The sequence below is a fragment of the Homo sapiens genome, chromosome 20 (assembly GCF_000001405.40).
Source record: "Homo sapiens chromosome 20, GRCh38.p14 Primary Assembly".
Classification (NCBI taxonomy): domain Eukaryota; kingdom Metazoa; phylum Chordata; class Mammalia; order Primates; family Hominidae; genus Homo; species Homo sapiens.
In genome coordinates, this window is record NC_000020.11 from 12,857,311 (window position 1) to 12,870,968 (window position 13,658).

General features: G+C 39.3%; 1 long non-coding RNA gene across 1 annotated transcript in view; it reads right to left on the reverse strand.

The window, feature by feature from the left end:
• Positions 1-7,893: 7,893 nt before the first annotated feature.
• Positions 7,894-13,658, reverse strand: part of LINC01722 (long intergenic non-protein coding RNA 1722) — an 87,316-nt gene continuing 81,551 nt past the window's right edge. Inside the window, exons 11-12 of the long non-coding RNA NR_109868.1 lie at positions 9,194-9,295; positions 7,894-8,367 (exon numbers count right to left, since the gene is read on the reverse strand). This is a non-coding gene — a long non-coding RNA (long intergenic non-protein coding RNA 1722). The remainder of the gene's footprint in view (positions 8,368-9,193; positions 9,296-13,658) is intronic.

The window sequence follows — 13,658 nt, forward strand, 5'->3', positions numbered from 1 at the left end:
TATAGATTATTAGAAGAAAATATTTTCAATTCACATATCTGGCAAATAACTTTTATCTAAAATGTATACAGAATGCATAAAACTCAGCAGACAAAAAGTTAGATAATTGGGAAAAGACATAAAGAGGTATTTTACTAAGGAAGATTTGTAGATGGTAAATAAGCACATATAAAGATGGTCAATATATTAGCCATTGGGGAAATGCAAACTAAAGCCACAATAAGATATTACCACACACTATCAGAATGATTTTTTGTTCTTGTTTTGTTTAAGTGACAATGAGAGGTGAAGCTGGCTGGGCTTCTGGGTCAGGTGAGGACTTGGAGAACTTTTCTGTCTAGCCAAAGGATTGTAAATGCACCAATCAGCACTCTGTGTCTAGCTAAAGGATTGTAAACACACCAATCAGCACTCTGTAAAAACGCACCAATCAGCGCTCTGTGTCTAGCTAAAGTTTTGTAAACACACCAATCAGCACTCGGTAAAAACGGACCAATCAGCACCCTGTAAAATGGACCAATCAGCTATCTGTAAAATGGACCAATCAGCTCTCTTTAAAATGGACCAATCAGCAGGATGTGGGTGGGGCCAAATAAGGGAATGAAAGCTGGCCACGCCACTGGCTGGGGTCCTCTTCCGACGTGTGGAAGCTTTGATGTTTTGTTCTTGCAATAAATCTTACTGCTGCTCACTCTTTGGGTCCGCAGCATTTATGAGCTGTAACACTGACCGCAAAGGTCTGCAGCTTCACTCCTGAAGTCAGCAAGACCACGACTCCACTGGGAGGAACGAGTGGAACGAACAACTCTGGACGTACTGCCTTTAAGAGCTGTAATACTGACCGGGAAGGTCTGCAGCTTCATTCCTGAAATCAGCGAGGCCACAAACCCACCAGAAGGAAGAAACTCCGGACACGTCCGAATATCAGAAGGAACAAACTCCGGACGCACCATCTTTAAGAATTGTAACACTCACCGCGAGGGTCCGCAGCTTCATTCTTGAAGTCAGCAAGACCAAGGACCCACCAATTCCAGACACACCGCCACCACATGCTGGCAAAGATGTGCGGAAACTGGATCACTCATACATTGCTTATGCGTATGTAAAATAGTACAACCACACTGGAAAACAGTTGTCGATGTCTTTAAAAACTAAATATGCAATTACCATATAACCCAGCAATTTCTCTCCTGGACATTTATTCCACAGAAATGAAAATGTGTTTATACAAAAACCTGAAAGTGAATGTTGATAGCAGCTTTATTCATAACAGCCAAAACAGGGAAACAGCTCAGATGTCCTCCAGTGGGTCAATGGTAAAACAAACTGTGCTACATGTGCATAATTATTATTACTCTCTAATAAAAGGGAGAAGGCTGCTGATGCACACAGCAACCTGAATGAATCTCCAGAGTAAAAAAGCAAATCCCAAAAGTTGCATATGGTATGATTCTATTTATTCGACATACCTGAAGTTACATAATGCTAGAGATGGAAAACAGAATAACCATTGCCCAGAGTTAAGGGAGTGGTGAGACAGGAGAGAAGTGGGTGTGGCTATGTAAGGGCACACAGGAGGGAGCCTTTAGTGATGGAAATACCCTATATCTAAACTGTATCAATGTCAATATCTTGTTATTTCTTACAAGATGTTGTAAAATTCAATTTCATTGTAAGATACATATGCTTCCACACTAATCTCAGAGTAAAAGGTTTAATTTATTTATTTATTTATTTATTTATTTATTTTTGAGATGGAGTCTTGGTCTGTTGCCCAGGCTGAAGTGCAGTGGCACAATCCCGGCTCACTGCAAGCTCTGCCTCCCGGGTTCACTCCATTCTCCTGCCTCAGCCTCCAGAGTAGCTGGGACTACAGGTGCCCCCCACCACCCCTGGCTAATTTTTTATATTTTTAGTAGAGACGAGGTTTCACCGTGTTAGCCAGGATGGTCTTGATCTCCTGACCTCGTGATCTGCCTGCCTCAGCCTCCCAAAGTGCTGGGATTACAGGCGTGAGCCACCGCACCTGGCCAAAGGTTTAATTTTTTTAAGTCAAACATAGGCTTGTTGGTTACAGCTAGTCTTAGAATTGTACATGCTCAGTTCCACCATACGCTGTAGGGGAAAGATGTGCCTCTGTAGGCTTACTTGGCATAGGAAACAGATGTTCCACCATCTGTACAGAGACCATCCTTCAGGCTGCCTACACTCTAGTATTCCTTCCAGACCCAGAAGGTTTTGACTCACGACTGTATTTTGATCTTTCACTCACCCTAAATGTACATACAAATTCTAAGTCATGTATACATACATACAAGTGCTAAATCATCATAATTCCTATTTTCCTCTCAAATAAAGTTTTAAATCAGGAGTATGACACTGCCAAACACTGAGTGACTATAGCAGCACATATGCCACAACAGCCACAACAGATGGCTTACATGTCATGGTTTCTATCCCCAAGTTCTTCTGCCTAGTAAACCTATTAGTAAGCATGTTACAAAGAAGTATTATGGAATCGGGAGGAAAAGAAAGCAGGTTTTGTTGGCTAATGAGATCTCAGAGAATGAAAAAGTAGCATTCCACAAGGGTACATATCAGGTCCAATATTATAGCATCTAGATCCAAGGACTAAGAATCCTTTGTGGACATTTTGTTACTTTGTTTTTGTTTTGGTTTGTTTGGTTTGGTTTGGTTTCATTTGGTTTTGTTTGGCTTGATAAGAGGGATAAAGAAGGCCACAAATGCTTTTGAGAATCCAGTGAAAGTCTGGACCCACTTCCAACCTCCAAAAAAAATACACACATACACATTTTTCAGTTGATTGAAACTGTATAATCACTGCTGGAACCATTTTCTCTGACCTGTTTTAGAGAAATGCTCATTCAAGATATGATAATGTTCAAATGTCCAGATAACAAATATCAAACACATCTCTAAAATCCTTGAGCTGATGATAGCCAGATTTGTTCCCAGAATCTTTGGAGACTGTTATTAATTATAAATATCTCCACGTTATTGCATTGTTTTCTTCCCATATTCAAAGTGCTGATCTTCCTTACCTGTTCAGGTCCACCGAACATGCAGACTTAATAAATGATGTCTTGTCAATGCCATGCATTAATTGGCTATTGCCATAATAATGCTGTATAATCAACCATCTCAAAACTGGGTGTCTTACAACAACTAGCATTTCCCAAGTCTGCAGGTCTGTATCTGGGGTGGCTTTGGCTGGGCTCAGCAGGCAGTTCTGCTTTAAGCTAAACATCAGGTAGACTTGACATGGCTTGGGTTTGAGCATGATCCAAGTGTCTCTTGTATCCTTGGGCCAAAGGCTGCTTAGAGAAGGTTCTAATAGTAAATGTCAGAATAGTGAAAGACAAACCAAGCCACACAGATCCAGTTAAAGCTTCCACTTGCATCACATCTGTTAACATTGCATTGGCCAAAGCCAAGTCATATGACTGAACCCAGCATCAATTAAGTGGCCAAAAATGTCTACAGTGGAATAGGAGAATGGATGTTTGCTGAGCACTAATATAATACTTCACAAATCACAAACAACTTTCTAGTATTTCCCAAGGCTCTCATGATGCCAGGTGCTCTAGTGAAATTTCACCATACTCAAATGACTAAAACAAGAAATCAAAAAATATAATTACAGCTGAGAACATTTTGTATGACTCAACTATGTTTTAGAGCAGGGCTTCTTAACCTTGGCACTATTAACATTTAGGAATGCATACTTCTTTGTTTCTGGGAGTAAGGTGGTGCAGGGGGTGGCTGTGTGGTTCACTGAAGAATAGTTAGCCACATTCCTGGCATCTACCTACTAGATGCCAATAGTTCTCTCAAGTGATACTAACCAAAAATGTCTTCAGGCATTGTCAAGTGATCCCTGGGGGTCAAAATTGTCAGTGTTTGAGAACCACAATTTAAGAAAAATAGTCAACATCCAAGATACAATAAATATTGTCAATTGCCAAATAGAAAACATCAGTAATAAAATATATATTCTTGGTATCAGTATAAAAAAGTTTGCATTCAAATAAAATTGACCAGGTATTTTTATATGGTAGGCATTGGCAAATCCTTCTTAAATCCTTATTAACTACTCTGCCAGATGGGTAGCATTATTTCATGCTATTAAAGTTGAAAACAAGCTATAGTTAAATGAATTGTTCAAAGCCACAAAGATAAAAAGAGTAAAACTTGGATTTGAAATTTGATGTCTTCAACTTAAAATCCGCTTTGAGTAATAACACATGCTCTTATAGCATTTATAAAGGCTCCTGATTATTATAACCATTTCCACTCTGCTTTATTGGGTGTCCCTTTTCTATAAAGATGTGTGAGAACCAAAGAGTTCATAGAAAATAAGCCAATGTTTTATGTAATAAATAATTTAACAATTTATGTAATATTATGTAATGTAATAATTAATTATAAAAAGTTCATAGAAAACAAGGTAAGGTAAGAACCTCGAGCAGAACCTAAAAACAGATCTTGGAAAGAGCATACTAGGTGAATGGCCAGTGAAATGGCAAGAACAGAGGGCCTGAGTTGGGAGTTTGCTTGTTGGCTTATAAAAATAAGCCAAAGTTTTATGTAATATTTTAATTGAGTGCTCTTTATTACTGACATCACAAACACTAAATGATAAATTATTTATAAAGTCTTCAACCACTAAGAATAGTAGTTACATCATATGTACATTATAAAGAGTACTTGTTTTCTTATCAACTAAACCCACGATCATCATCATCATCATTAAAAGCATAATTTTAAAGTGGAAATAGTACCAATTTACCTTTTTTAGCTGGTTTATAGAAAGCATCTCAAAAATCAAAACTTCTACCCATGTGATTCTCATTGTTTGGAATATAACCTCTGGGGAGCTGTAGAACTATCTTCGATGTCTAAGTTTTTGCCACAACTCACTTTGAATTTATACAACTCCTTCAAATCCATAAGTGGATTATTGGATAATCCTTCACAATATACTGTTGGTCAGACAATATTTCACTGCTCCAACAACCCCTGCCTTAGTTGAGGCCACACTCTTCTTTCTCCTAGATAATTACAGTAGACCTAACTAATCTCCTTCCACCTTTGCCTGCTACAGACTATTCCCCGTGCAGCAGCCAGAGTGAGCTTTTGTAAATATAAATCAGGAAATGTTCATCACACTCCTACTTTGAGCATTCCAATGGGTTCCCACCACATTTAGAATAAAACTCAAATTCCTTTCCAAAGTTTGAAAGACCTAATAAGCTGGCCAACAGTAACATTTCTGCACTCATTCACAGCTTTTTTCCCCTTCATTCAGTGTTCTGCAGCCACTCTGACCCTGCTATTCCTCAGGCAAAACAAGCAAACTCCCAACTCAGGCCCTCTGTTCTTGCCATTTCACTGGCCATTCACCTAGTATGCTCTTTCCAAGATCTGTTTTTAGGTTCTGCTCAAGGTTCTTACCTTACCTTGTTTTCTCTGCAAAGCCTTTCCTGACCTTTGTGAAGAAGCATCTCTCGACTCTACCCACCCCCTCACTTTGTTCTTTTATAGCACCTCTTACTAACTGGCATCATATTGCACATGTTTTCTGCTCTTTTATTTATTAACTGTCTTTCCTATTAGAAGGTAAGCCTTACATAGGCAGGAACTATGTTTTGTTCATTATTCTATCTCCAGGACCTAGGAGCATACCTGGTATGTTGTAGGTCTTCAATAAGTATATGATGAGTAAATGATGAATGAAAGCTAAATATTAGCTGGAGACTCACAATATTTGGAAATTGAGGTAAGGTTTTCTTAAGTGGCTCTGCCACCCTACCACTACCATCCCCTACACACCTATAGATTCCAGAACGCTTCCCAAGGCTTCTGAGATTCTCTAAAGCTTTATGTTTTCAGGGCATCTCTAGTTCTGACTTCCTGATTTCTTAGTTTGTGAATCATCTTGTCATCCTCTCCATGCCGTCTTTGCCTCACACAAAAAAATAACCTTCTCATATAAGGCAACTTGTGTTTTTGGTAAACTTTACCAAAGACTTATAGACAATCTAAGGTAGGTTTATACTGAGACATTGTAAAGAAAACCTTTAGAGTAAACAGGAAACATTCTTCTTCTTATGAAGACTTTAGCCTCCACCCTATAGAAGACATCACTCATGGGTTCTCCTAAGCCCACAGCAAACTTCTGGCCCCCGCTTTACCCCACCCCCCGCACCCATCCTCTCCAGAGTTAAAACAAATTTCTCTCTTCACCTCACACAGAGCAATTCAGTCTTCTCTTTTATTGCCTTTGATCTTTCTGTCATCATGCTTCAGGGTCTCTCTCTTCCCATTCCAAGAAGCTCTTCAAGACATTCTTGAAGACATTCAAGACATTCAAGAAGACATTCAAGACATTCAAGAAGACATTCAAGACATTCTTGATAGACCTATTGCTTCTGTGACTATAAGAGGCTCTAATATTCCACATGGCCACAAAATACTGCCATCTGAATAAATATAATATCTAACCATTCTTCATTCTTCTTTTTCACGTGTAAATATATGCAAACACCCACACATACACACAGATGCACATATATATGTTATTGTGATTCATAAAAGAAAAATAATCAGGAAGCATCACTGAACTCACATGAACTCACAGTAAGTGTTGGTCATGGAGTATTTTGTCAATTAATCAGTTCTGAAAGATCAATTTTAATCAGGCAGATATCTATAAGACTTCCTGATGTTAAAAGCAGTTTTCTCATATTTGAAAAGACTAATAGCTTACTGCCTGTACAGTATCTATTTTCTCAAATAGAACCTGAAAATTAAGAATGGAAAGGGACAAAGATAGCCATCCTTGTAGATTCTTTTTATGCTTGTCCAATATTTTCACCTCTGAAATTCCTACAGGGATGAAGAAAATATAGGGACTGTCTGTTTACCTAAATGACATGGGCATATTGTTAATGAATAAAGTTATATGCAGATCAATATTTAGTGTTTCATCTAAAAATAAGAATATGTTTATATTATCATTTGCTTGTGAGACATAAGGTCTTGCTTACCCTGCCCACTGCCTGGTAGTACAGGGATACCTAAAACTTCAGGAAGTCGCAGTCATGGTGGTGGTGGGAGGGCTAATGCCTAACATTACCTTGCACCTAAATTGCTCCAGCAGGATTGTCACCCAGGCCATCCTGCATTCTTTGCTCTATTCTAAATAGTTGAGGGCCTCTCACTGTTTGCTGTTGCATCTGCCATACTATGTTGGATCTTTGGGAAGAGTTGACAGCTATTCCCACATCTTCTAAAATACTGTTTCCAGTATCTCCCATGTTCTGAAATATTCTATTGAGGCACATCACTCATTACTTGCCAGTAAATTCAATTGTCTAATAAGCATCTTAGATCCCAAGGCCAAGCATATATGCCAATGAAATCTCCCCTCCTTCTAGTATGACACGGTATCCCTAATAAGTAAAAAAGGCTAAGACCAATTCTGAATACCTGAATTCAATAGTCTTAACCTCTGGTTTGTAGCTTCAGACACTGACTATGGCCAACTCCACTCACTGCTTAGGTTCACCAATGAGGAAAAGGGCCACTGACTTGATTGATCCTTATGACTATACATGACACTTTTCAGGCTGGGAAATGTAGTTCCCCTGAGCTGTTATCCCCCCATGGATCAACAGCCTATCCTTTTCTACCTGAGTTGAACAAAATCTGAGCCCAGGGTTCAGACGGTCAACTAGTCATTTCAAATTTTCCTACAACGTCTTCTAGGACCCTATGCATCCCTCTGGCCCAAGTGTGAAAGAATAATCCTCCTGGTATATGCTTGCCAATTAAGGACCTTCAGAAAGAAGACACGAAAACAGGAGTAGAAGCTTCAGGGATTTATTGAGGTAAAAACTGTGAAATATAAAAGGGTGAGAGAAAGCCTTTGGACCATTATTCAGGCCTGATGCCATGAATGGAGAAGGGAGAGAAAGGAGGATAACACAGAAAGAGGCTACAACTGTGATGCAGCTCTGAGAAAGTCTTAGGCATCGCAGTGGGGAGCTCCAATGCAAAGAATGACTGTAGAAGAGTCTCTCAATAAATAGAAAAGCCCAGACCCTAGTCCCTCCGCAGCATGTAGACAATGACTGGAGGCAGCTTGGGAACAGTGTGCTCTCAGCTCAGATGCTGCAGGAGATCTTGAAGGTGCTACAGTAGGCTGTTAGCTATTTGCATTCCTTTCAGCAGTTTTTTCTTGTAGAGATATCTGAGCAATGTACATTCATGGTTGTCCCAGTAGGCAACATAGCACTCTATAATCTTGGTTGTGGCCTAATTCCGAGATGGGGGATAATTGTGCTGATGACATAATATAGGATCTGTCAGACACCAAGGCCAAGTAGCCAACAAGATCCCCCATGCCTCAAAGATCCAGAAAATTAACCTAAATTCTAGGCTCATCTTAAACAACATAATTTAATTATCTTTTGGCCAGATAGGGAGCATCTTAGCCTGGACCAATGCACCACCTGCATCTGCATCAGCACCAGTGGGGAGCTGGAACATTCAGTGCCCCATACATGGGAGCAGGAAGAAGGATTGTCTAGAGCTCTCAGCAACCTGGAACCTGTCCTCTGGGCTTGGGTTGGGCTTTCTGAGCCTCTCTGTTGGGAGAGGGCCTCAGGTGTTACTCATGGCTCCCATTTTCTTATTTACATCATAACCATAGTCCAGTATCTCCTATAGCAATACTAGAGACTAGCCTCATGATCTTACAGATTAAAATGATATGGGTTCCTGACTGAGAGGGTAATTATGCAAAGCATCTGTCCCTGTGATAAGGGGTGAGCTGAGATATAACGTTTAATTCTATTGATTCCCTGTGGGCTGGCTCCTCAGAAAAGGTAATAACCTCTGTAGGGCTCCATGAAAATTGTCCGCTTAAGGCAATTAATCCTGGAAAGGACTGAGGTAGAACACTTGGTCCTGATGTAGAGCAATTAACTATTGTCACATAGCTTCAGCCACAAGATTTGGACCCTAGCCCTCTGATGGTGTCAGTGGAGGGGATCCATGTACCCCACCACCTACTGGCTGGAGACCTAATCCCGAAATCTGACAACTGACCTTTCAGGATCCTTGTCTGCTATCCCACAGAATAATGGGGGACCACACAGGCACTAACCTGTTATGTCTCTGTAAGTTTCTCTCCCAATAAGTGTTTTTCCAGATCACCTGTTGTGTTTGCTATCAGGTCATTCACCCTTGGTTGCTATGCAGCTTCCCCCTGCATATAAATAAACCAGCGTATGGCACATGAGAAATCCACAAAAGTGGTAGACCATTGTGGAAAAGGAGTAGTGGGTTGATCTGAACAGAGGTAAAAAAAAGATTTCTCAATGTGTATATTTGATGTTTGAATGATAAGGATATGCCATCTATTTTTTAAAAATATATATAATTAAAAGGAGAAAAGGTTAAATCAATAACTGCTGGGAAACAATTATTAAAGTAAATAATTTAAATAAATGTCATACCGTTTTCTGCTCCAAATTTCTTAGCATGGATTTGAAAAGGACATTAACAACCACAAAAATAAAACATACCATGTGCAACAAGACAACCATCCCAACAGTGAAAGAGCATCACAATGGCGAAGGAGTGGTGCATATGTTTTCTTAAATAACACATTAGGATGCAATTTTCACTGAATCTGAAAAAGTTTTTAAACTCAGAGAGAAAAACTAACTAAAAGTAAGAAAAAGTTCTACTGCTTAAGAGTGGCAGAAACCTAAACATCACACAGATATTTCCCCCTGTTGGAGGTTAGGAAGCTGCAATTCACATTCTTCCTCCTAGCTCTTTACAGCCTAGTTGGAGAGACAGGCAACTAACAGGTAAGTAAAATGCAGCGGGATATACATGAAAAACAATTCCTGATAGATTGTTGATATATGTGCGAAAGAGAAAAAAAAAAGTCTCTAGAAAAATGTGTCCAAAACTATCTTGTCTACTTCCAACTAGAGATAGTTTTCTTAAACAAAGCGAAAGAGTAATGACCATAGAGGAAACAGCTAATCAATTGGATAACATTAAAAATAAGAACTTCTGTTCACCAAAAGACACAATTAAAAGAGTAAGAAAGTAAGCCACACAGTGGGAAACTATATTTTTATTACATGTACCTGACAAATCACTCCTACAAATTAATAAGAATAAAAAAGATGCTCCAATAGATAAATGAGCAAAAGACTTCAACTGGTATTTACAAAACAGGACAACTATATGACCAATAAACATTTGTAAAGCACAAAAAGGAAATGATAACCACAGTGAAGACACCACTATACAACCACCAGAATGACTCACTACTGGCAATGCCCATTGTTGACAATAATGGGAAACAATTATAATCTACGTACACTGTCAGAGAGAGCAAATTAGCAAGATCATTTTGGAAATTTGGGGTAGTATATACTTAAAGCCAGATTCATGCCTACTGTACATTTCTCAAATATGTACCCAAGAGAAATGAGTGTATATTTTCACCAAAAGGCAGGAGCATAAAAATGTTCAGAGCACTATTATTTGCAAAAACCAAAATCCAGAAACAACACAAATGTCTAACCACAGGGGAATGAATGGACACATAGTACTTTACTCATACAATGGAATACTATGCAATAATGAAAATAAAAGAGCTACAGCTACACACAACATGGAAAAAATTCACAGACACACTATTGAGTAAGAGAAATCAGAAATAAAAGTATTTATAGTGCCCAATTCCATTTGTACGAAGTTCTAAAGCAGACAAATGTAACTATAATATTAGAAGTCAAGATTGATGATTACTTTTGGGAAAGAGGAATTGTATGGATTGGAAGAAAGCCTTAAGAGGTCTTCTGAGGTCCTGGTTATGTTCAGCTTCTTGGCCTGAGTGGTGATCATACGGGTAGCTTCACTTCAGGATAAGTAAGCCATGCACTATGAGTTATGCACTTTTCTGCATGAATGCTACATTTAAATGAGAGAGTTTGAAAGCAAATAAAGTGTAATGAGTGCTTTGATAGATTTTACTGAGGACTCATGTGGGAGGAAACCCTGACACTGATTTAGATGACTGGGGAAAAGTTCCTGGACAGCTACACTGAATCCTGGAAGACTGATAGGAGTGAGCTCTGTCAATGGCAGTAAAGAGTACTCCAAGAAAAAAAAAAAAAGCTGGAGGTGAGAGAGATTGTAGTGCCTTCCAGGTACTGCAGCTATTTCTTGTGGCTGAAACACAGGGCTTTGGCGTTATGAGACAGGAGTAAGAAGAGAAGAAATGGGAGGGCTAAGGGAGTTGAGATTATAAAGGGCCTCCTAAGCCTTGTTAGGAAGTTTGGGTTTGCTCTTTGAGCAATCAAGAGTTGGTGTTGAATAGGGAGAAATATGATTAGGTGTGCATGTAAAGTCATCAGTGTAGCTATAATAGAGTATTGAGGATAGAGATGAGAGCTTCTGGAAAAAAATCTAAGCTAAAGGAAATAAAATCAGAGAGATAGAAAGGAGTGGAGGCTAATAAGGGCATATTTTACAGTAGGCTTTGGTATGTGATTGACTATGTGGCATATTCCATATTTTAGCCTGAGGTAGATGGATAGGTCTAGGACAATTTCCATATTTTAGCCTGTGCCATCTTCTGAGAGGAGAACACAAAAGGACAAACGGTTTGGGTGAAAATATGGGGTTAATTGACCAGCTATAACTGGTACTTCTGCATGTTAACACCACAGTGAGATTCTAAACACCCCAAACAGACTCTTATTCTTTATTGCACTTTTCTAAATCTCTTAGCAGTTTTTATAAGTCATTTCATTTCAGTCCCTCAATAGGCTCTAACATGGTCAGCCAGGCATTATTGTTCCACAGACAATGACTTCAGCTTGTAGACTTGTGCGGCCATTTAGAGTTGGCAAGCCATGATGCAGGACATGGAAGGGTGAAGTTGAAGCTCTACTATTATTCCTTCAGGGCCACATTGAGGAACCCCAGGGAAAGCCACTCTTCAACACCATACCTCTCGCTCTGTGGCTCTTGCCTGCACCAACATAAAGGTCAACCAAAGCAATGCATTTTATCATGTTCAAATATTAAAAAAAAAAAAAAAGCTCAAGAAGGCTTTATTATTGTTGCATCTGAGAAGCATCTGTAACTTATAGAAAACCCCAAAAGAACCACCAGTCAACTTCCTGGACTAACCCAGCCCTTGCTTGCTCTCCTCTCTAGTTGTCTAAGCTAATCTGAGATGATCCTTGGCCCTAGCTTGTGGAGCTATGCTAATTTTCGTGGCTACTGAGGCCCAGTTCATTGATTTTCCATGAGGGTAGCTGTGTTCAGACAGGTAGGTGGTGTGGCTATTTGTCCAATAGCATTAAAACAAACTGATTGACAGCTTCATCTCTTTGTCATGGACACCCACATGCCAAGTATTGTCAAACACTGGGAACACTTTGGCATCTCATGCTTAATGTCTCCCATTAACCCACAGATACAGATTAAGGTGATGAATTTCATGTCAACTCATTTTATTTATCACCTCTAAGATGGGCTGTTAAAGAACCACAGTGGTCAAATTGCTCATATATCTGCCACAAGCCAAATAGTCAGGAAAACTCCGCAAAGACCTGACATTTGAACATTTTCTTTCCAGAGAAGAAATAGCTGAACAATGCCATGTCTCTGAGTTTAATACAAAATCAAATTTAAAACTAAACATTTTTCTACTAATAAACAGAAAAGAATATATTAAGTGGGAAACGTTAATATCATTGGACTATTTGTTTACTGGGTGATGGTGTGGAATGAGAGAAGACGTATAATTATGGGTCATTTTGTCTAAAAGAAAATTCAAAATGAATAAGATTCAAAGACTTAAATGGAAAATTAAAATGTCTAAGTGCAGACATTGAAGCCTTAGGAAGCTTACTATCTATGAACATGTCCTCCAAAACAAATAATTCAAGGCTTGCCGCCAAAATCCATGCTATTTCTACATTTCTACTCGTTGTTTGAATAGGCATATGGTACATGAGTGAACCTAAGGGAATTAATTTTGTATCATCTGTCACCCATAAACTTATAGTAGAAACAAAATTGGAAGCCGGGAAACAGTTTCATCTGAGACTCGGCAAGTGATAACTGGATCATTGCCCAGTGGATCATTGCAGGAGACTCGAGGCAGGACATGGAAAGAGACTGTCACCAAGAAGCCATTGATCAGAGGGTGGATGTACCCAAGGGAGAGGCATTAGATTCCAAAGAGTAATTTAACTCTCCACTTTCATTTGAAGATGTCCAAGCACAGAATGTACCTCTACATCACTGTCTAGCTGGAAATGACCCTGCTTATTATCTAGCCTCATCCTTTCATTTTACAGAGGAAGCATCTAAGGACAGAGACACTGAGAAATGGAGCCAAGGTCATATAGCCGTTCAGGGGGCTGTGCTATGAATAGAACTCAGGACATCTTGAGTTTGTATTTGCCAATCTTTCTAGTACCTGTGCCTTATGCATTACAGTCACTGACCCCATAAATCTTTACTGAACATCATGTGTGATTAAGGTGCTGTGCTAGATGCCACGAGAATGATTTAACACTGCCTGT